Source organism: Homo sapiens, chromosome 16, assembly GCF_000001405.40.
Source record: "Homo sapiens chromosome 16, GRCh38.p14 Primary Assembly".
NCBI lineage: Eukaryota > Metazoa > Chordata > Mammalia > Primates > Hominidae > Homo > Homo sapiens.
Window position 1 is genome coordinate 76,113,476 of NC_000016.10, and position 24,385 is coordinate 76,137,860.

At 37.0% G+C, this 24,385-nt stretch overlaps 1 long non-coding RNA gene across 1 annotated transcript in view; it reads right to left on the minus strand.

The window, feature by feature from the left end:
* Positions 1-8,445, minus strand: part of LOC105371349 (uncharacterized) — a 57,270-nt gene extending 48,825 nt beyond the window's left edge. The window contains exon 1 of the long non-coding RNA XR_933750.3: positions 8,286-8,445. This is a non-coding gene — a long non-coding RNA (uncharacterized LOC105371349). The remainder of the gene's footprint in view (positions 1-8,285) is intronic.
* Between the last annotated feature and the right edge of the window lie 15,940 nt (positions 8,446-24,385).

Below are 24,385 nucleotides of genomic sequence, written 5' to 3' on the forward strand. Positions count from 1 at the left end.
ATTGGTAAATCATTTGAGGCTCCTTAAAAATAAGTCTTGGTGGGATTTTTAGTAAGTTACCAATGTTCTGTTCTAGTCATGAGCCTCAATAATGAGGAAGATCGTCTCTTATCTCTTCTGTTTTTTGTCTTGAATGTAATCCACATTGCTATTTACCTTTACAAAGTAGCCTGAGACACAAACCCTTCACTAAAATTGTTGAGATAAATGAAGTTACTTTGCCCTAAGTTTCCACACAATTAAAAAAATCATTACCTTTTTCCCCCTCAGCAGTAAGACTAAACTTTGAAAATCAGTCTCCTTCTAATAGCACCTAAGTCGACATAACAGTACATATTGTTGAGATTTAGAGTCTAGCTGTATAGAAATTGAAGTTGCCCTTAATTTGGATCTATTATTCTATCTCCAGTAATCTCTTATAATGATAACTCTGCTCTGAGTGTGCCAATATTTATGAAGCCCTTTCAGGGATGGGTTGTTTCACTTTGCTCACTGTTTTTCTGTAAACTAAATGACATGGTGTGGCAATAAACCACTCCATAAGAATATCAATGTGTAAAGTTGATGAACTAGTAATAATAGTAAAAACAAAGAATTATATATTAATAAGACTATGGTGGACAATTTTTGAGGTCCAAGAAATGTATTTTGTGTTTGCTAAACATAATCCCATTGATGATGCGTTTTAGTATCCTATCATCAGGATACTAAAATTCAATATTCATTTATCCATCTATTTTTAAGTTTTTTCCCAGATTTCCTGAGGCATGCTTGACAACGACAAAGTGAAGATGCTTAAAATCTACAACCTGATGTTTTGATATATGGATACATTGTGAAATAATTACCACAATCAAGCTAATCAACATATTCACCACCTTACATGGTTACCATTTGTGTGTGTGTGTGTGTGTGTGTGTGTGTGTGTGTGTGGTGAGAACATTTAAGATCTACTCTTACTCTCTTATTTTGAGTATACAATACAGTTTATTACATGTAGTCACGATGCTGTACATTAGATCTCCAGAACTTATTTCTTCTTTAAAACTGAAACTTTAGACCTCTGTTTCTACCACCCTCCATACTGTGGCAACTACCATAGTACTCTCTGCTTCTATGAGTTCAGTTTAAAAAAATTATAAAATTTAAAATTTTTAAATATTTCATAAGATTATTTAATGTCATGGAAAGATGTTCACAACATATTATTATGTGAGTAATTAAGATTAACAAAACATACATATGATAAAATAACTTTCTTTGTTTAGATCAAATCCACCATTTCAGCCATTTTAAAGTGTACAATTCAATAGCGTTTAGTACATTCACAATATTGTGCAACCTACACCACCATCTGGTTCCTATTTTTATCATCTCAAAAGGAAACCCTGCACCATTTAAGCAATTATTACTTGTCATTCCCACCTCCCCACAGTCCTGGCAACTGCCAATGCTTTCCGTCTCTGTAGATTTGCCTATTCTGGGTATTTCGTATAAATGAATCATACACTTTGAACCTTATGTGTCTGACTTCTTTCACACAGTATAATGTATTTGAGTTTCATCCATGTCATAATACATATTAGTACTTTAGGTTTTTTAGATTCCACATATGAGTGAGATCATGCAATATTTGTCTTTCTGTGCCTGGCTTACTTCGCTCAACATAATGTCCTCCAGGTTCATTCATGATGTTGCAAATGACAGAATTTTCTTCTTTATTAAGGCTGATTAATATACCATGATATGTATACATCACAATTTCTTTCTCCATTTATCCATACACGGACATTTACAGTATCCTCATGTCTTGGCTATTGTGAATAATGTTGCAGTGAACGTAGGAATAGAGATAACTCTTTGACATACCAAATTTATTTCCTTTGCATATATACCCAGGAGTGGGATTGCTGGGTCATATGACAGTTCTATTTTTAAAATTTTGACACACATCCATGCTGTCTTCTCTAATGTCTGTATCAATTGACATTCCCACCAGCAGTGTAAAAGGGCTCCTTTCCCTCCACACTTGTTATCTTTTCAGTAATAGCCATTCTAAAAGGTGTGAGATGATATCTTATTGTGGTTTTAATTTGCATTTTTCTAATGATTAGTGATGTTGAACAATTTTTCAGATGCTTGTTGATCACTTGTATGTGTTCTTTTGAGAAATATCTATTCCCAAATCCTTTGCTCATTTTTTATTCTGGCTGTTTGTTTTCTTGCTATTGAGTTGTTTGAGTTTCCTACATGTTTTGGGTATTAACTCTTCATCAGATCCCTGACTTGTAAATATTCTTATGCATACTGTAGGTTGTCTCTTACTCTGTTGATTGTTTCCTTTGCTCTGCAGAAGCTTTTAAATTTGGTAGTTTTGTCTACTTTTACTTTTGTTGCCTGTGCTTTGGGGTCATATACATAAAGTCTGTGCCAAGACCAATGTTATGAGCTTTTCATCTCTGTTTTCTCCTACTAGAGAGAATGTCAAGTCTCACATTTAAATATTTAATATATTTTGAGTTGATTTTGTATATTGTATGGGATAATGGTACAATTTCATTCTTTTGCATGTAGATATTCAGTTTTCCCACCATTCACTGAAGAGACTATCCTTTTCTCATTGTGTAGTTTTGGCACCTTTGTCCAAGATAAATTGACCACAAACGTGTAATTTAAATTTATTTCTGGACTTTCTATTCTGTTCCATCGTTCTATGTCTGTATTTATGCCAGTACCATACTATTTTGATTGCTACAATTTTGTACTATATTTTGAAGTCAGGCAGCATGATGTACCAGCAACTTTGTTCTTCTTCATAAAGATTTCTTTGGCTATTCAGGGTCTTTTATGACTACACATTAATTTTATTTTTTTTTCTATTTCTGTGAATAATGCCATTGGAATTTTGGTAGAGATTGCATCAAATCTTTAGATTGCTTTGGGTAGTATGAAAATTTTAACAATATCAATTATTTTGGTTCATAAACATGGGATAGCTTTTTGTTTATCTGTGTTTTCTTCAATTTTATTAATCAATATTTTGTAATTTTTAGTGTGTGGGTATTTTACCTCCTTGGTTAAATTTATTCATAAACATTTTATTTTTATTTCCTTTCTTCCCTCAGGTTTATTAAGGTGTAATTGAAAAAAATTGTATATATTTACAGTGTACATGATATTTTGTTATATGTACACATTGTAAAATGATTAAGTCAATCTAATTAACATACCTATCACCTCATACTATTTTAGTGTTGAGAGCATTGAAGACTTAATCTCCTAGCATTTTAAAATCATGTATTGCCTTATTATTAACTATAGTCACCATACTGGTACAATAGATCTACAGAATTTCTCTATCCTGTCTAACTGAAACTGTACTCTTTAACTAACATCTCCCCATTTTCTTTTCCTTTTCTCTCCCCAGCCCCTGGCAACTACCATTCTACTTTCTGTTTCTATTGGTCCAACTTTTTTAGATTCCACAAGTGTGAGATAATGGTCCATTTTCACTCTTTTGCATGTAGATTCCATAAGTGTGAGATAATGGTCCAATTTCACTCTTCTGCATGTAGATATTCAGGCTAACCCTAACCCTAACCCTAACCCTGACCTTAATTCTAACTCTAACCCTGACCCATGCAGTATTTCTCTTCCTGTGACTGGCTTATTTCACTTAGCATATGCCGTCCAGGTTCATACGCATTATCATAAATGACAGGATCTTTTCTTAAAAAGCTGAATAGCATTCCAGTGTGTGCGTGTGTTTGTGTGTGTATGTGTGTGTCTATGTATGTATGTATAATATTTTCTTTGTTCATTCATCTGTTGATGAGCACTTAGGCTCATTTCACATCTTGGCTATTATGAATTATGCTGCAATAAACATGGGAGTGCAGACATCTCCTTGACATACTGATTTCAGTTCCTTTGAATATATACCCAGAAATGGGATTGCTGAATCATATGGTATTTCTATTTTTAATTTTTTGAGGGAACCCCTATATTATTTTTCATAATAGATGTACTAATTTACATTTCTATCAACGGTTTACCAGGGTTCCCTTTTTCCACATCCTTGCCAACAGTTATAATCTGTTGTCTTTTTGATAATAGACATTACTTCTACCCATTTGTTGAATTAAATATTTATTGGTCATCTATTATATGTCAGGCATCATGCTCAGTGAAATAGACACATACATGTGTAGGAGAGCCATAATTGTCCACAGGAGCTCAAAGCACTGCGGGAAACCAACATGGAATCTGTAGGCTTTAATGAAGCCTGGCAAGGACAGCCATAGAGATGTGCATGGGGTATTAGTGGAGCCCTAAGAGAAAGCATGACTCAACCTGGGTTTGGTCTGAGATGCTTCCCCAGAGAATCGACAAATAATATGCATCTTCTAGGCTTAGTGAGAGAGAGTCAGCAAAATGGATAGGGAAACTTCTTATCCAAGGAAGCCAAAGGGGAACAATAGCCTTGGGCTAGGGATGAGCAGAAAGGGAAATAGGTAACCAGTCGTGTTTCCTATAACAGGTGGTGGGAGGCAGGGAAGAGGATGGCAGTGAAGTAGAGGAACGTGGGACCTTGAGCATTAAGTCAATGTTAGTATCTTATCAGTGTGTATAGGAGGGAATTTTTCCCTAATAGCATGCATTACTCTTTTTAAAAACAGCTTTTTGAGTTATAATTACTCCTGATAATTCTCTTTAGCTAAAATACCATATTTTGACACTAATACTCTAGTTACTTCCTTTTGAAAATATGCCTTTTTTCAGGAGAATATTCAGCCCGTGCAAGATATAGGCTCAGTTAATTCAAATTTTAAATTCTGTATAAGTGCGGTCCACTACACTCCCTCTGGGTCACTTGGTATCACAGTAAGACTTATGAGTAGCTTTTGCAAGCAACCTACAAAGAATTTTATTTTTCTCTCTTTCTCTGTCCCCCTCCTTGTCCTTCTCTGACACACATGCACACACACACTCCTAGGTCCCATATGATTTCTGCTTCCATGCTACACTCATTTCTGCTGTTAATGGTGCTATGATATTTGCTGTCCATGGTGCTGTGCAGTTGACCTCTCATCCCTAGCTGTGCAGACTCCTGTACTTAGCGGGGCCAGGCACACCACTTGCAGCATTCTACCTTGCACTGGCTCTTGTTTCCCTTCAGCACTTCCCACCCTCAGTCATACTTTGTGACATCAGAGAGGTTCTCCATCTTTTTTCCCTTGGCTCATCTAATGAAGATTCCACTCACATCCATTCACCCTTCTCCTCATACTCCCCTTTCAAGCTCTACTTCTTTGACAATTTCTATGCTCCATCATTCATGTGCAACAAAGCCTAGAGGAGAAGTTATTGTCATCTCCTATTTCCAGAAATACCTTCAAATTCCAGTGTAATTTCCTTAAGTGTTTTTTGGTCCATCTTGAGTGAGAAGGTACTTCCCATATGGTTCTTGTTCTCTTCTCAAAGGCTGGTTTGCAAACCCTGCTCTGTCAGCTCTCTTCCTCTTCCCGTGGGTAGCTTTGGGATATGGTGGTAGCGATGGGAGGAGGGCAATTCGTGAAAGCACATTTGACTGGAGTTGATAAACTTTTTTTTTTTTTTGAGTCACATTCTCATTCAGTCACCCAGGCTGGAGTGCAGAGGCATGATCTTGGCTCATCGCAGCCTCCACCTCCCAGATTCAAGCAATTCTCCTGCTTCAGGCTCCCAAATAGCTGGGATTACAGGTGCACACCACCACACCTAGCTAATTATTGTATTTTTAGTAGAGATGGGGTTTCACCACATTGGTCAGGCTGGTCTCAAACTCCTAGCCTCAAGTGATCTGCCCACCTCAGCCTCCCAAAGTGCTGGGATTACAGAATTTGATAAACTTTTAATGTCCAAGCTGTTATTTCTTCTTTAAACTAGGGTGGCATATCTGGAATTCGGAAGTGGGATTTTCAAACTCAGAAGTTAAAGGCCTCTGCATAATAATCCATCTCATTTCTGCTTAGGGCGAGAAAGGGGCCAAAAGCTCATCAGTGAATATCCGAGTATCCAAAAGGATAAGTTTTGATGATACTTCCCACCACCATCACATCATTAATAACAAGTATATAAAAAAGTGTTAATAATATATAATTCAAAGTATTCAAAGTGACTTGGCCTTTCTCCATTCTAAAGGAGGATTTAAGGATACAATATCTTATTTAGCACAAATAAGAAAACTCCAGTAAACTTTCATAGCGGATGACATTGGTAGGCAAGAAAATGTTTGAGAAGGAGCTATTGACTGTCAACCCTCAAAGTTCTTGAGAACATAAAGCTAGTAAGGAAGTTATTATGATAGACCAAATGAGGGATAATGAACCAGAACAATGAGAGAGATATTGAGAATGGATTAGAATAAAAACCATCTTGTTAATAGAATTAAAGAATTTGTAGATGTTTTGTAGTGGTGAGAGAACACTGATTTCAACAATGATGTATGGATTTCTAACTGGACATAGCAGTGATCCTATGAACTAAGATAGGAACAAATAACACTGAAGAGGATTTTGGAGGGTTAGATGTTGAGTTTAGTTGACTCCAGTCTAGTCAACTATGGAGGCTTTAGACATAGTTTAAAATACCTTTTTAGAGTTCAGAAAAAATTTCAGATATGTACATTTTCTGATTATAGAACACTGTTGAAAAGATTTATATAAAAAGTGAAAATTGGGTAGAAGTGAGACGAAAATAGGGGAAAAGCACATCTTTAGGAAAAGAAGAGTGTTAGGGGAAGCTGCAAGAAGGAAGTCTAAAATGAGGTGAAAGAGGATTGGAAAGACAGAAGGCAGGTGATGTTCAAGGAAGGAATAGTGTGATGTTTGGCTGCTGAATGGACAAATAGAATAAGGAGGAAGAAGAGGAAAAAGTAATTTCTTAAACTTTTATTTTAGGTTCAGGGGTACAAGTGCAGGTTTGTTATATAGGTAAACTCATGTGTAGGTGTGTTATATAGGTAAGCTCATGTGCAGGTTTGTTACATAGGTAAACTCATGTGCGGGTTTGTTATATAGGTAAGCTCATGTGCAGGTTTGTTATATAGGTAAACTCATGTGCAGGTTTGTTATATAGGTAAACTCATGTGCAGGTTTGTTACATAGGTAAACTCATGTGCAGGTTTGTTATACAGATAAATTCATGTGCAGATTTGTTATATAGGTAAACTCATGTGCAGGTTTGTTATATAGGTAAACTCATGTGCACGTTTGTTATATAGGTAAACTCATGTGCAGACTTGTTATATAGGTAAACTCGTGCAGGTTTGTTACATAGGCAAACTCATGTGCAGGTTTGTTATATAGGTAAACTCATGTCACAGGGGTTTGTTGTACACATTATTTTATCATCCAGGTATTAAGTCTAGTACCCATTGGTTATTTTTTCTGATCCTCTCTCTCCTGCCACCCTCCACCCTCTGGTAGGCCCCTGGGTCTGTTGTTCCCCTCTATGTGTCCATGTGTTTTCATCATTTAGTTCGCACTTACAAATGAGGACATGCAGTGTTTGGTTTTCTGTTCCTGTGTTAGTTTGCTAAGGATAATAACCTCCAGCTCCTTCCATAGTTCTTCAAAGGACATGATCTTGTTATTTTGTATAGCTGCATAGTATTCCATGGTGTATAAGTACCACACTTTCTTTATCTGGTATACCCTTGATGTGCATTTAGGTTGATTCTATGTCTTTGCTATTATTAATAGTGCTGCAATGAACAGATGCATGCCTGTGTCCTTATGATAGAACGATTTATATTCCTTTGGTTATATTCCCAGTAATAGAATTTCTGGATTAAATGGTACTTCTGTTTTTTGCTCTTTGAGGAATCACCACACTGCTTTCCACAATCATTGAACTAATTTACACTGCCACCAACAGTGTATAAGCATTCCTTGGAAAAAGTGATTTATATTGGGAGGTGTTATTTTACCCAAAAGAAGTTATAGTAGAGTGATGAGAATCATACATAAATAAAAATTCGGCTTGTGGTAATGTAGAGGAATGAATGATGGTGTAGTAGTTAGAAGCAGTATATAATATTTAAGGCATCTGATGGTGGATTGAAATACTGAGATAGCTTGAGGAAAGATTGTGATGTGTGCGTAATTTAAAGGGCTGTTTCAGTTTTGTTTTGTTTGGATCAGAAATCAAGTCAACGTTCAAAAATATTATTATCTTGTACTTATATAATATAAACGTAGTCATATCCCATGTTCTTCAGATATTTAAAGTTCTTCACATACCTTTGGTAAACTTCAGGAGCACAGCTTGTGTATTGAAGGGGAATGATTCATGACTGCTGGGTGCTCAGTGAAGCGGCTTCCTCCAAGAGGCAAAGCGTCTCCTTCTGGCAGAGCTTACAGACTTTGTTAAAAATAGACTTCTTCTGTTCCTTGGAAAATGCTCATAGAGAGATGTTTATAAGAGAATTTTGAAAATGTTCTATTGAAGATGTATTTAGTTAAGAACATGTCAAACTCTCAAAAATTCAATGTAAATATCCATTTTTTTCCACTCATGTGAGGGACAAGAAATGGGTGAAATGGAAATAGAATGTATTACTCTGGCTCATTTTTTTTTCTTTTACCATATTAACTTTCATTCCCAGTCCTTTCTGGTAAAAGCATGATTTTTAAAATTACCTTTCCAATACAAAAAATCACTTTGTAAATAAGATCAGAACATTCAGTCCACAGGGGAAAGCATGAAGAAAATGAAGCAATTGTATCTTCTTATTCGTCTTGGTATTGAAGATCCCAGTGATTTAATAACCCTCAAAGTACATTTAGGTTTATTTCATATCAAAGCCAAATAATATTGTTTGCCAATCGTTACTTTAAAAAGGAATCTTGTATTCAGTTAGAAATGAAGTAATTTCTTTCTTTGAATGAGTAGAATTAAGTTGGAGGTGATTTTGATGTTATTGAGGGGGCCTTAATCACACTGTCTATTTAAGCTGTTTATACAGATCATTTCATGAGAATGCCTAAGGGATGTCTTTCCAACCTTCATTACTACATATTTGGGAGAATATTAGATCTTAATAGCAAGGCATGTAGATCCATTTTTACTAGCATTTTTTAAAACCTGGGATTTAATTTCAGGATTTAATCTAATTTTTTTCTTGAATTGTTCATTTCTTTGCACAGTGATGAAGTGTGAGCCATGTCTTTTAAGGAAACTTCCTAATTCTTCAGTACTGTGTGGCTACGTAAACCTACATTCAGATAAAAATTAAAAAGGAGTTGCAGTTAACAGAGGATTTCTCTCACCACACCATTTTTATTGAAGATAAAATTTAAGCCAGAATATAGAAGAAAACATAGTCCAGATGCAAAGATATTTAGAAAAGATAATAAGTAAAGATAATAATAATCACTGGGACTTACAGAGCTCATACCATCTGTCAGGCATTGCTCCAATGCTGTGCATTTATTTTATTATTTTTTTCTCTCAGGAATTGTATAAGATAAACACTATTGTTATCCCCAAAGGCACAGAGAAGTTATGTAACTTAAATAAAGTCACATAACTGGTGAGAATTGAGTTCAGAATCAACACTCAAGCAGTCTGAGTTCAGAGCTATAGCTGATTCTCAAAAATACCCCTCAAATAATGTATTTCACTGGTCAACAACTGTTAGCACCAATAATTTATTTTTAAATGTAATGAAAAATTTTGGAAATCCACACAAATGAAGAAATAGCTAATAACTTACTAGCTGTAATATTTTATATAAATCCATCTCACAAATTTATTTTAGTAGAGTCAGTTCATAATGTAAACTTTAAGATATGTTTTCCTTGTGTTTTCTTGACTATTCTAAGTATTCTTTCTTTATCCTAATTCAAATCATTAATAAAAATGCTGAATAGGACTGGGCTAGACGGAGTCCCCTATCATAAATTATAAATGTCACTCACGGTGGAAATCAATCCACCAGTTTGGATGAATGATAGAAAAACTAAAATTGAAAGTCATTAAAGAGTATGAAGTCCACATTTCACCATTTTACCAGTTTAAACTGAAAGGTTTTGTCAAATGTCTTGGTGAAATTCAAATACCCATATGTTTCAGGAGTGAACTTTTCAAAGGACCAGTGCAACACTTCTGCTAACCGCTATAATTTCTGATATCCCATTTCTGCAACTAGAGGATGTTTAAAAGTGTAAAAAATTAATGCACCACAGAAGCAAAGATTTTTTGGAAGGTTATTCTTTTCCTTTGAGGGCAGGAAAAGAGGGGTGACCCTACTCCTGACTTTCTGCAAGAACTACAATAAACCAAGGGAAATGGTTTCTTTTCACTACGCAGAAAGACTGTCAGTCAGGGGGCAAAGTTCAGATGACCAGGCTTTTAAGAAGTGCACAAACTGTAATTTGGATGCTATCAGAAAACAAAATAGTAAATTTTGTGTTGGAGAGAGCTCAGCACAGAAAACCAGTGAAGGCATCCAGTGTCCCCTATATACATTATTCATAGTAGATTTCAGGAGCTGAGCAAAGAGGCAAGAGAAATAAAGTCCATGGAAGAGTATGCAGGAAAATGTGGGCAAGGGAAGTTGCAGAAGAGAGAGAGTTCCAAATGAATACGAGCTAAAGTACCAGGGTGAGCTCTTGCGTAATGGCGTATGGAGTCAGCCAAGATGGCAACAGAGTATAAGAATGCTGACCCAGGTGAATTGAGCTAAGAGATTCTTCCAGCTCCTAAAATGAATTTCCACCATCATCATATGCCTGTGAATTGTTGCCTACTTTTCATTTAATTACTCAGTGCATTTGTTTAGAAGTTTACCTGGAGAGTCATTAAATAATTCTTTTAAAAAATGATCTTTGTTTAGAATTCTGGTTGAATTTTCCAATTGAATTATTTGGTAGAAACAAACAAACAAACAAACAAAACCTGAATGGTGGAAAACTCTAAGTACAGTGTTTCTAGTTCCTAGACCGATGTCCAAGCCCAGATGATAGTCAAGAACTGAATCTCTCTGGCCTCAGACTTATGGTGGGAGGAGATAACAGCAGAGCATATAATCTGTGCTCATAAAAGGAATAACTAGTGAGATATAGGAGATTATTTTATTTTCTGTTATTAAGATTTCTCATACATGTATTTTTCCTGTTTTTTAATCACCTTGGTGTCTCAAGCCAAAAAGACTAGAAGTAACAAGATTTTGCACACATCTGTGCACACATATGCAAGATTATTTTGGATATTTATTATATATATAATTCAAGAGACAAGATTGAAAATATTTAACTGACTGATGGAAAATAGTAAAAATATTTTGAAAAATTTTCCAAATGCTTTTCAGAATATTATTCTTTGAATGACATACTATACAAATTTCCTTTTCATTACCAGCATAAAGCTCTAATGTCCATTAGAGGAAGAGAGAACAGTCTCTTAGTGACAATATGTTAAAGTGACTGTTACTTGACAATGGTACTTCATATTTAATAATGTCCTCATTTTCTGAGATACATTTTATTAAGATGTCATCGAGTTTTCTGTAAGTCAAATTAATTCATTTTACTAATGTGATATAATGTGAGCAAATAAATTAGCATACTGTATAAGATTTATTTTACATTAATACTAGTTCAAAATTATACATTTTGGCTACATGAAATTTCTTACAAATACTTGGTTTGTTGCAAGTCATAACACAAAAGTTATTTGCAATGTTTAATTGCCCGTTTTTTCTTATGCTAATCTTACATTTGCTTTTAATAGGTACAGCCAAGTTAAATAGCAGAGACAAATATTTAGCACCAAAAGACTCTTTCTGTAAAAGACACTATGGTCTGTTTATGATTCTTCATTTTACAGTTCTGTGTGAGATTTATTATTTATATTTCACAAATGAAAGAAGAAAAATCCAAATAGATAGCTCATTTTATCTGTTCCAGGACCCAATGTGCTAGTATTCTTGAGGCAGGAAACTTGTGCTACAAATTTTGCAGATTACAGTCAGCTTAAAAATGAGCACTGGGGAGGTGGGGCATGGTGGCTCACGCCTGTAATCCCAGCACTTTGGGAGACCGAGGCGGGCAGATCACCTGAGGTCAGGAGTTCGAGACCAGCCTGGGCAACCTGACGAAAGCCCGTCTCTGTTAAAAATACAGAAAAATTAGCCGGGTGTGGTGGCATGCGCCTGTAGTCCTGGCTACTTGGGAGGCTGAGGCACGAGATTCGCTTGAACTCAGGAGGCAGAGGTTGCAGTGAGCCAAGATCGTGCCACTGCACTCCAGCTCCAGCCTGGGTGACAGAAAGAGACTCCGAAAAAAAAAAAAAAAAAAAAGCAATGGGGAAGCCTTTAAGGGGAAAAGAATCGGAGAATCTGCACATGCATAACATCCTTCCTGCAGGGTCTTGGGTATCAAGCAGAGGAGAGGGGACCATTGGGTTGATTGTAGGGGGAGTGGGGATTTTCAAATTCTTTTCATATATCTGTGCCTCAGAGGATATTGCTGTTGTTGCATTGTTTGCTTGAAACACTAATTGGAGGAGTCATCTTCCATTGCTCAACTCTGTACCAACTTGAGTCACTATTTAGTGTCTTGGAGGGTGCAAGTACTTTGGAATTAATCCACCTGGATTTAATGAGCCAGGTGTGTGACCTTAGATAAACAGGTAAACCTGTTCTTCCCCTAGTGAGAGTGACTATAACATTCACTTCTAATTTATTGTCATTAGATAATTATACAGAGTACTTAGCACATATTAGAAACTTAGCAAATTTCAGTTCTATTCAAAGCTGGACATCCACAGTGATTACGACAATTTTTTTCTACCCTACTAATTGTGTTGTGTCTTTTTTTTTTTTTCTTAAATTAGTGTGCTTTCTAAGTTTGGTACAGTAGAGGGAAACAAGGCTGAACTATTGTCAAAGAATTTTATGTGTTTTCCTTATTTTATGCAATCATTCGGCATAGAGAGTCAAAGATGACTAACTTCATAGTAAGATGCTAATTGAGATATGTTCTTTCTTTCTTTCTTTTTTTCATTTTTATTTTTATCTTTGAGATGGAGTCTCGCTCTGTCACCCAGACTGGAGTGCAGTGGCATGATCTTGGCTCACTGCAAGCTCCGCCTCCCGGTTTCACACCATTCTCCTGCCTCAGCCTCCTGAGTAGCTCGGGACTACAGGTGCCCACCACCACGCCCAGCTAATTTTTTTTATTTTTGGTAGAGATGGGGTTTCACCGTGTCAGCCAGGATGGTCTCAATCTCCTGACCTCGTGATCCACCTGCCTTGGCCTCCCAAATTGCTGAGATTACAGGCTTGAGCCACCGCGCCTGGCCAAGATATGTTCTTGACCTAGTCAGATTATTGTCATGTCAAAGATTTTAATTAATACACATAATATTCTATCATGTATTATAGAGAAAATATTATTTTCTATTATGAAAAAATAAAGTCAGCACATGCAAGACTACAAATTTGGATAAAAACAGCTGCCATCATTATTTTTCTATTTGTTGTTACGTGGGTAGCTGGGGCATGGAGTTTAATAATGCTATTCACAACATCAAGAGTAAACTTTTGAATTTGAATTGCAGTTTTGAACATATTTTAATAAATAAAAATTTCAAAACAGGTTGGAGTCAATATCTCAGAATCTGTCATGATAGTAATCATCACGCACTATCCATCAATTTCTCCTTAGGAATAGTAATAATTGTCTTTTTTTTTTCTTTTGGATACGGAGTCTCACTCTGTTGCCCAGGCTGGGGTGCAGTGGCGTGATCTCAGCTCACTGCAACCTCCTCCTCCCCAGTTCAAGCTATTCTCCTGCCTCAGCCTCCTGAGTAGCTGGGATTACAGGCGCGTGCCACCACCCCTGGCTAATTTTTGTATTTTTAGTAGAGACGGGGTTTCACCATGTCAGTCAGGCTGATCTTGAACTCCTGACCTCGTGATCCTCCCACCTCAGGCTCCCAAAGTGCTGGGATTACAGGCGTGAGCCACCAAGCCCGGCCAAGAACAGTAGTAATTGAATATAAAAACTCTACATTGGTACATTTCGGTAACGAACTCTCTGAGTTTTTGATGTGGACAATCCATATTCTCAGTGCTGGCTACAAGTTGCATTTTGCCACAATTGCTGACTCTAAAGTTCTTCTGATGTGATAGTTGAAATTCTGCAGGTCAGGTGGGTGGACAAATCACTGTGAGCAAGTCATGAACAGATGAATCTCTGGAACTATTTTGGGTTTTATCTTTGGAAAATTTTGGTCCCATACAACTTTGAAACTTATTTTTAAAACTTCTAGATTTATGAAAATAGTTAGGAGAGAAAGAAAATTGCAATTTTGTATCTTCCTTCTACTATTTTTGTAGTTTGTGCCTAAAATTAGCTGTTAGATGACATAAAGGATTACATTAGTTTTATCCATTTATTAATACATTGCATTCATATTTTAACCTATTCTCAGGTCCCACACTATTTACTAGAATGCTATTAAAGAACAGAGTGTATGAATCTCTCCTTGATAGTAATTTATGGTCTATAGATAACATGAAAAATGTAACAAGTTGACAAAATAAAATAGTGTAAGAATACATGCGAAATGGAATGAGACTATAGATTAATGGAACTAAATTTTCTTTTTAAAAATTTTTTCCCCATCCAACTTTTATTTTAGGTTCAAGAAGTACATGTGCAGGTTTGTTACATGAGTAAATTGTGTGTCACAGGGGTTTGGTGTACAGATAATTTTGTCACCCAGGTAATCAACATAATACCCGATAGGTTGTTTTTCAGTCCTCTCTCTCCTCCCGCCCTCTGCTCTCAAGTAGGTCCTGGTGTCTGTTGTTCCCTTCTTTGTGTCCATTTTTACTCAGTGTTTAGCTCCCACTTATTAGTGAGAACATGTAGTATTTGGTTTTCTGTTCCTGTATTAATTTGGTTAGGATAGTGGCCTCCAGCTCCATCCATGTTGCTGCAAAGGACACAATTTCATTCTTTTTTAAGGCTGCATAGTATTCCATGGTATATATGTACCACATTTTCTTTATGCAGTCAAAAACCACTTATGGGCATCTAGGTTGACTCCGTGTGTTTACTATTGTGAATAGTGCTGCAATGAACATATGTGTGCATGTCTTTCTATATATGCATTAAATATACTGTTAATCAGCTTAACAGTGAGAAGAAGCATTGGTTAGGGTATCTGGAAATGATGGACCTTTCGTTTCACTTTGGAGGGGTGCTGTTGCTACAGAAGATACTTTTATGGACATGGAGGTTAGTGCTATGACTCCCCACAGGAAGATGTCTTACTGAGGAGAATTGGGTCTCAACAGGACTGCTACATTGCACAAAACCAGAAGCTCAACTGAACCCTTAAAATGGCATGGCATGGAAGAACACCTGAATTCAGAAATATGACCAAAAGTGGTGTGAAATAAAATCAATAAAATCCATCAAGACATCACAAAGCATGTATTCTGGGCTATGAAGCCGGACATTTCCCCTCAGTTGTAGAGAAATTAAACCGAGCCACTTACAATAAGAGCAAAGCTAGCAATTCACACATATGCTGTGAAATAATGGCTGGGAGTTCCTTTTTGGCATTCAACTGCCTTCTAATGCATTCTAGATATAATAGACTGAAGAAGAAAGAGGGAAACATATTTTTGAGCACTTTTGAAGAGTAAGTTTTGTGCAAGACCCCTTATATTGATCTTCATGGCTGCTGTATGAATCCTCGCTGTTCATATTTACAGTTAAGGTAAGTGAGGCTCAGAGACACTGAGTTATTGTGACACATCAGAGTCAGAGGCAGAATTCACAGCCAGGACTCTTCAATTTACTGTCCTGCGCTCATCTCCAAATACCGTGTTTCTCAAGAAGCAAACACTCCCCTACATCTCAGCAGAAAGCAGCCAAGCTATGATATAACTAAAAATGATTTGTGAACTTAACTACATTAGGATATGAAATACACTTTTTTAAGTAACAAATAATTCCTGGTAAACCTCCAACATTCCTGACCTTGTTCTCCTAATCCTGTTTCTCAGATGGTCCCCGTCTTGATTCAACTCTGACATGCTGGTATGCCTTGTGACTCTGTCCTAGATCTTTCAGATCATTTTCTACACACTCTTCCTTAGCACTCTCATCCCTTCCACGGATACACTTATATTAGGTTAGTGTAAAAGTAACGGCAAAAACGCAATTATATTAGGTTGGTACAAAACTAAGAGACTTACTATTAGGTTGGTATAAACCCAATTACTTTTGCGCCAACCTAACAGTAACTCTCCCAACCAAAGTCTGCCTAACCAATGTGCTGACTTCACTGATATTCACTATTCCTTGGTAAAATATATTCATTGATTCCCATAGCATGTTGAGCCACTGTGCCTGGTTGCCTGCATTTTTCACTTTTCCTTCTTCCAGTAGAGCTGTGTGCTTATCTTTGTCAGTGGTTTTTGTTCCCAAACCTGTTTAGGCCAGTTGGACATGTTATTATATTGTGTATTTTCATTCTGTATTTTGCTGATTGAAAGTAAATTCACCTGTAATACCAGAACTTTAGGAGGCCAAGGTGGGCAAGGCCAGGAGTTCGAGACCAGCCTGGCCAACATGGTGAGACCCTGTCTCTGCTAAAAATGCAAAAATTAGCCGGGCTTGGTAGCAGGCACATGTAGCCCCAGCTACTCGGGAGGCTGAGGCAGGAGAATCGCTTGAACCTGGGCTGCAGAGGTTGCAGTGAGCTGAGATCGTGCTGCTGTACTCCAGGCTGGGAGACAGAAAACAAGACTCCATCTCAAAAATAAATAAATAAATAAGTTAAAAAAGAAAAGAAATTCATGCAAAGATAGTTGTTTCTATAAAAACCAAGTGGAATGGATTCGAAAAATTTGATAGGGAAGGTCATTTAAAAATTTTGCTGTTGATTTTTTTCTCCTTTTTAGAGACGGGTCTTTGTTACACAGGCTGGAGTGCAGTGGTGTAATCAGAGCTTACTGCAACCTTCAACTCCTGGGCTCAAGTGATCCTCCCATCTCTGCTTCCCCAGTAGCTGGGACTACAGGTGCTGGGACTACTACCACCACACCCAGCTAATTGTATAAATTTTGTACAGACAGAGTCTCACTATGTTGCTCAAGCTGGTCTTGCTGTTGATTTAAAGATGTAAAAAAGTAAGGAAGAAAAATAATCTACAATTCTTCATGAATATATTTTTCACAAGTGTTTTTATGTTCTCACTTTACTTAAAAAAAAAAAAAAGCCAGAAACAATGGAATAATGTATTGGGAATAAACTCTACACAAGAAAGATAATAGAAAACAAAAGGCAGTAAACCTATTTTGAAAGACTGAAAAATCTTTTGCTTTTTTTAAGTTAGGATAAAATATTTAAAGTATATGACTATTTCATGTTTTTACCTTCAGCTAACTTTTTTAGTTAAAAAAATAAAACAGGAAAACTGGGGAAAGTTAACAAGCAAAATATTTACAAAGGGTGAGGAGGGCTTAGAGAAACCAACAAAGAGTAATGCAGTGCCACAGATCTACCGACAGTGAGGGAGCCTCTGCCTCCCTTACACTCAAGGAAACCCAGGGAGTGAAGCCATATGGAAAGGAGACATGGCCTTTTGTGATGGACAGTTGAAGCGACCCAACAAGAAAGAAGCCAAAAATTAAGCCACCAACCTCCTCTTCTCCTGCCTCTGAATCCTGCTAATGCTCACTGCTGCAGAGATTAACAGGAGATATGTAGCATAATCCATCACTTTTGTCGTTTATATCCACTCCTGATTTTTATATGGGTGGGAAATTTATGCACTCAATGTGATGAATTCCCAAGACTGATTAGATAATGTAACATTTTTAGGGAAATATCAATTAGAACATATTCCCATCTGTAAATCTAAAATGTTAGCAACACCATTGTGTGCTCTCTGCTCCTTAGAGCATTTGATAAAGGGACTGTTCACAGAAATGTCGACAGGACTTCATGGCACCAAGAAAGGATATAGGGCTTTACTCTTTCTTGCCTCCCTAGGCTTTACTCTTCCTTTTTTTTTTTTTTTTTTTTTTTTTGAGACAGAGTCTCACTCTGTCTCACTCTTTCTCCCAGGCTGTAGTGCAGCGGCGCTATCTTGGCTCACTGCAACCTCCACCTCCCAGATTTAAGTGATTCTCCTGCCTCAGCCTCCCGAGTAGCTGGGACTACAGGCGTATGCCACCACGCCTAGTTAATTTTTGTATTTTTAGTAGAGATGGGGTTTCACTATATTGGCCAGGCTGGTCTCAAACTCCTGACCTCAGGTGATCCACCTGTCTTCACCTCCTAAAGTGCTGGGATTACAGGTGTGAGCCACCTTGCCCTACCGGCTTTACTCTTCTGAAAGAGCATGGAGGGGTGGGGCAGCTGCTTCCAAGAGAGAGTTGCTATATGGAAAGAGCTACTTCCTTTCTTTGCTCCCAGTTTTTCACGTGACAGAAGCCCATCTCTTTTAATCAAAAGAGGAGTGGAGGAGGAGGACAAACCTTTTCCTTTTGTCTTTATCCATAGAAATAGATTGGTATTCTTTTGTGTGCATGCGTGTGTGTGTGTGTGTGTGTGTGTGTGTGTGTGTGACTGTAGGTGTATATATGTATATATACAGTCAGGTGCTGCATAATGACATTTGGGCCAATGATGGACCGCATATATAATGGTGGTTCCATAAGATTATAATGGAGCTGAAAAAATCCTATCGCCTAGTGACATCATAGCTGTTGTAATGTTGTAGCACACTTTATTTTTAATAAATTTATTGTAGCCTAAATGTACAGCATTGATGAAGTCTACAGTAGTGTACAGTAATGTCCTAGGCATTCACCTTTACTCAGAGAAACTTCCCATCAGGCCAGCTCAATTCATGGCAACAATTCTATAGAGATGTACCATTTTAAAAATCCATATTTTTACCGTGTTTTGATATGTTTAGATACACAGATACTTACCATTGTGTTACAATTGCCAGCAGTATTCAGTACAGTAGCATGCTGTACAGATTTGCAGCCTGGGAACAATGGTTTATATCATATAGCCTAGGGGTGTAGTAGGTGATACTGTGCTTGTGTAAGTATACCCTGTGATGTTGGCACAACAGAATTGCCTAACGATGCATTTCTCAGAACATATCCCTGATGTTAAGTGACACCTGACTGCATTTTCAAAAACTAACACTTTCAGCATTTTTCAGCACTCCCTATAAACACTGAAATAAAAATAAAAATGTATGCATTAGTCAAGAAACACTGACACATTGAGAAGTGGCTAAATTAATGAAATTATCATTTGCATATAGAAAATAATACAAGTTGATTATTGGTACATGCTAAGAAATCTGTAAGAAGATATTTCAAAGCATACCTGGAATATTATGAAAAATTTTATATTTTTTCATAGATAATTACAATCAATTTATGATTCTCTATTTCTGTATAAAGCCTTGTCTTTGAATTGTGTTCTACATGTACACACAGAAAAAAATACCCGTTGTGTATTTCAACCATTTATAATTGTTCATCAATAATATTAAGTAGAATGGCATGAATTATTTGCCATTGGCATTAGCCTGTAGTTTTGTAACTATGAAGATTATTTTTAATTAAATCATACTATCAGATGTTTTAATGAGAATCACTCCTGTGAAGCTCTTTGCCAGAAACACACACACCTAAACACACACTTTTTAACTGTATGGATTATTCAATTTAAGTTGACATGAAAATGTACTTTGTAAATTTGCTAATGAAAGACAATCTTTGAGATAAGCAAAACAAGGCATTGACTACAATTTGACCAAACCAGCCTTTTTCAAAACTGTGAGATCAATCAGTTCCTTGCAAATCATCAGTAAATCTGATGTATAGCATTACATTTTTATTTTTATAGATTTTAATTTCTTGGTTTAATTACTCTGCATTCCTCTGGTTAGAAAAACAACCTGATGAGTTATTTTTATTTATAGCATTTCCACTCAATGTGCTTATGATTATATTTCAGTGCACTGGAAATTTGCAATCATCTATTTCAGTGACTTTAAAGTTTTTTTTTTTGAAATTAAGCTTTTGATAAAGGTTAAAGAACTGTTTTTAAAGATAAAATACTATTTGCTAAGATGACCAGTAAGGAAATTTGCAAATATGTATATTACAAAATCATTACAAAGAGATGACATTATAATTTGTATTTGGCAAAATCATCCAGTTTTAGAATCATTAGACCTTTATTGAGTATTTCTATAGAAAGACCTGTGTGCCACAGTTTTTCACAAGACATCTTCAATTAGTGCTCAGAAATGTATAAATTTGATGTTAATAATACAAAAAAAGTCTACTCTTATTTAGTAGGCATCTTGTGAGCAATGTAACCACTGGGCTATATCAATGTACATTTCAGATTCTTTAGCTTGGCTTAAAAGACCTCTCATGGCCTCCTCCTCCAGTCCTGCTCTGATCACTAGTCTTTGACAGCTGTCCTGATCTTATCTGAATTTCTCTAAATGCCTTGCTCTCTTTGGTTTCTGGTCTTCTTCCATGGTTGTTCTTCTCTCTATCTTGACCTCCATTCCTGCCCCTACATTGTCACCTTTTCATTGAACCAAGTCCAAATAATCTTTCAGGCACCAGCCTAAATGTCATCTTATGCATTTAATGATGCCCAACAACTGTTTATTAAATGCATTATCTAGTCCCACTTGACTAGTGTAGGCTATCTTGCTACATATATGTTCTTCTTTTTTTTTTTTTTTTTTTTTTTTTGAGACAGAGTCTCGCTCTGTCGCCCAGGCTGAAGTTCAATGGTGCAATCTCTGCTCACTGCAAGCTCCGCCCCCTGGGTTCACGCCATTCTCCTGCCTCAGCTTCCCAAGTAGCTGGGACTACAGGCACCCACCCCCAGGCCCAGATAATTTTTTGTATTTTTTAGTAGAGACGGGGTTTCACTGTGTTACCCAGGATGGTCTCAATATCCTGACCTCGTGATCCACCTGCCTCAGCCTCCCAAAGTGCTGGGATTACAGGCATGAGCCACTGCGCCCGGCCTACATATATGTTCTTATTGCCCCTTCAAATGCTATGACAGCACTCATCAACTATTACTGTAATTTCTTTTTAAATTTTTTAAAATTGACTTTTATTCCGATTTGTTTTTTACTTTTTTACTTTAAGTTCTGGGACACATGCGCAGAATGTGCAGGGTTGTTACATATGTATGCATGTGCTATGGTGGTTTACTGCACCTATCATCCCGTCACCTAGGTTTTAAGGCCTGCATGCATTAGCTAGTTGTCCTGATGCTCTCCCTCCCCTCCCCACCACCGCCCGACAGGCCCCAGTGTGTGTTGTTCCCCTCCCTGTGTCCATGTGTTCTTATTGTTCAGTTTCCACTTATGATAACATGTGGTGTTTGGTTTTCTGTTCCTGTGTTAATCTACTGAGGATGATGGCTTCCAGCTTCATCCTTGTCCCTGCAAAGGACATGATCTCATTTCTTCTTGTGGCTGCATAGTACCACATATGATATACACATAGTGTATATCATACACATAGAGTGGTGTGTGTGTACCACATTTTCTTTATCCAGTCTGTCATCGATGGGCATTTCGGTTGGTTCCATGTCTTTGCTATTGTGAATAGTGTTGCAATAAACATACGTGTGCATGTATCTTTATAACAGAATGACTTATATTCCTTTGGGTATATACCCAGTAATGGGATTGCTGGGCCAAATGGTGTTTCTGGTTCTAGATCCTTGAGGAATTGTCACAATGTCTTCCATAATAGTTGAACTAATTTACATTCCCACCAACAATGTAAAAGCATTCCTATTTCTCTACAGCCTCACCAGCATCTGTTGTTTCTTGGCTTTTTAATAATTATTACTGTAATTTCTAATGTAATGCACCTGTCTCCTTTGCAGGATATTTAGCTCAGAGGAGGCAAAGCAATGACTATCATGTATCTCCTTTAAATTCTGCCACCTGTCACCAAGACTTCCCTGTAATAGATGCTCATAAACATTTGGGTAAATGAATAATTTAACAAATCAGACTCGTTATGGATCACAAAATATTTTAATGCATCATATAGAAGAGGTAAAGAATGTAAGTGGGGCAGAGCCCTCAGCATGTTACAAATAGCACAGCATGTTGGGACATTAGATCCAGTGGACCACTTCAGAGGATGGAGATGGTCAGAGGTTGTGAAGAAGCTGTGTTCTGTGTAATGTGAAACTGGTGTGGCCACTGGACTCTTCAGCAGGACAGACCTTAGCATTTTACCTTTCTAGAGCATGCGTATGCCGCATTGCTTCAAAGCTGATGTATCAAGTAGTTTCCATGTTGAAAGAACTCCTAACAAAGCATTAGCAGTCTGTATACCCAGTTCACAGTGCAGCAACTCAGGGGCTGGTGAAGATACTCAGCTTGGTTCACACGGTTGATCTTTCTGCCTGGAAGTCACGCCCGACAGTGTTCAGAGTTCATATTTTTTATACTAATGAAATCAAGAATTGTAAAGAGCCCTAAGGTCAAAAGTGACCCATGCAATGATGGGAATGTAGCAGTGAAATATATATATATGAATGAAGTAATCGTCAACTTGGTAACTATAATTTCCCACTTGGTTTAAATGAGATTTTCCTTGCTCACAATCAGCATGTGAACCAGTGCCCCTGCAGGGGCACTGCCAGGCTCAGAGCTGTGCTGTCTGACTGGTTTTTGCATTCTTAAATATTCCTTTTCATTCCTGCTGTCCCCGTACTCCTCATGGCAGACACTTTCATCTTTAAATCCAGTTGTTTTTGTCAGTATTATTAGAAGACAAATCATATCCTGTAGATTGTCAAATGCATTTATTTATAACAGGCTCTGTAAAAGGTCTCTGAAGTCTGGGGTTGGAAGAGCAACAGCTAACAAGTTGACGGCAGAATAGTTAATCAAATTAAATTGGGGTTTCTAAGCCTTAATATAGGACCCCATCAGGTAATGATGAGCAAGGCTTCATCTTCTGCAGAGGTTGTAGACAGCAAGCCTGTCACATGACTGCTTTGCTCGCAAGGAGCTCAGGCCAAGAACTTCGCCTGTCATTTTCATTTCCTTATGAAAACCAACTACTGATGCTTTGAAGAATGGAATACCAATTAGACCATTTGGGGAATGAAGGTAATTTAGTGGGTTAAGAAACAAAAATACTATCATCAATTCTGTTGCTTACAGCAAATTAGCAGGTGGTCCAGAGAATGAGAGATGCGATATACATTCAGGAGCCCAGTTTCCCAAGATGGAACAAGAAAACATGTTCATCATTGAAAGCAGGCATGGCTTTTGGACATGTTAGCACTAATTTTTTTAAGTGTGGAAACAACTCTTAACTTTCCTCTGAATCAGAGCTGAAGCAGGGTATTAATTTTCCTCCCTGGTTGAGGTTACCTTTAACTCCCAATTCAAAACTGTATTACATTGACTAGAAAGTACATACATCAAACCAAACAATTATGTGTATACATTTTTTTCTGACAGGAATAAAGCCATTTTATACTTTATGAATGACAATTCAAAGAGGTTCACAGATGATTTGATCACTTTATCCAACTTACATAAATGCAATATAAAGAGGGATTTATGTTGCCTAATTGGACAGGGTACATTTTTTAGTTTTCTTAAAGTGTTCTGCAAACTGTTGTTTTCTTACTCTCCACCCCAGTTTTCTCAACACAGGGTCTCTACTGGATTTATTGTCTCTGAGTGGGAAACTGATGGAAAGACCAAATAAAGAACTCAGTGTAAAACGTGGGAATCAGTGAACAGAAACAGGCTTCAAAGTGACTTGCCTTATCAGAAGCCAAAAATGATTAAATCTATAAGAGTTAAAATCATGTGATGTTGGCATAAATAGATCAATGAAACAATTTACATAGTCATTAAAGAGACTCTAATGTGATACATAGAATTAAAATGAAAAGGAATGGATTATTTAAAAAATTATTGGGATAATTAAGCTGAATGCAGTGGCTCATTCTTTAGTCCCTGCCATTCCAGGGGGCTGAGGCAGGCAGATTGCTTGAGATCCCTTTAGGGCTTCAGTGCACCATGATTGCGCTTGTGAGTAGCCACTGTATTTCAACCTGGGCAACATAGGCAGTGTCTCTTAAAAAAAAAAAATTAATCATGTAAGCTAGTTAGACCTTATAGGGGATCTTAACCTTGCTTGATTTATAAACATAATCAAAACTTAATTTGAGCTATTTATTACACATGCATATTTTCCTAATCCCTTTGTGCTGCTCTAACAGAATACCTGAGACTGGGTAACTTATAGAGAACTATC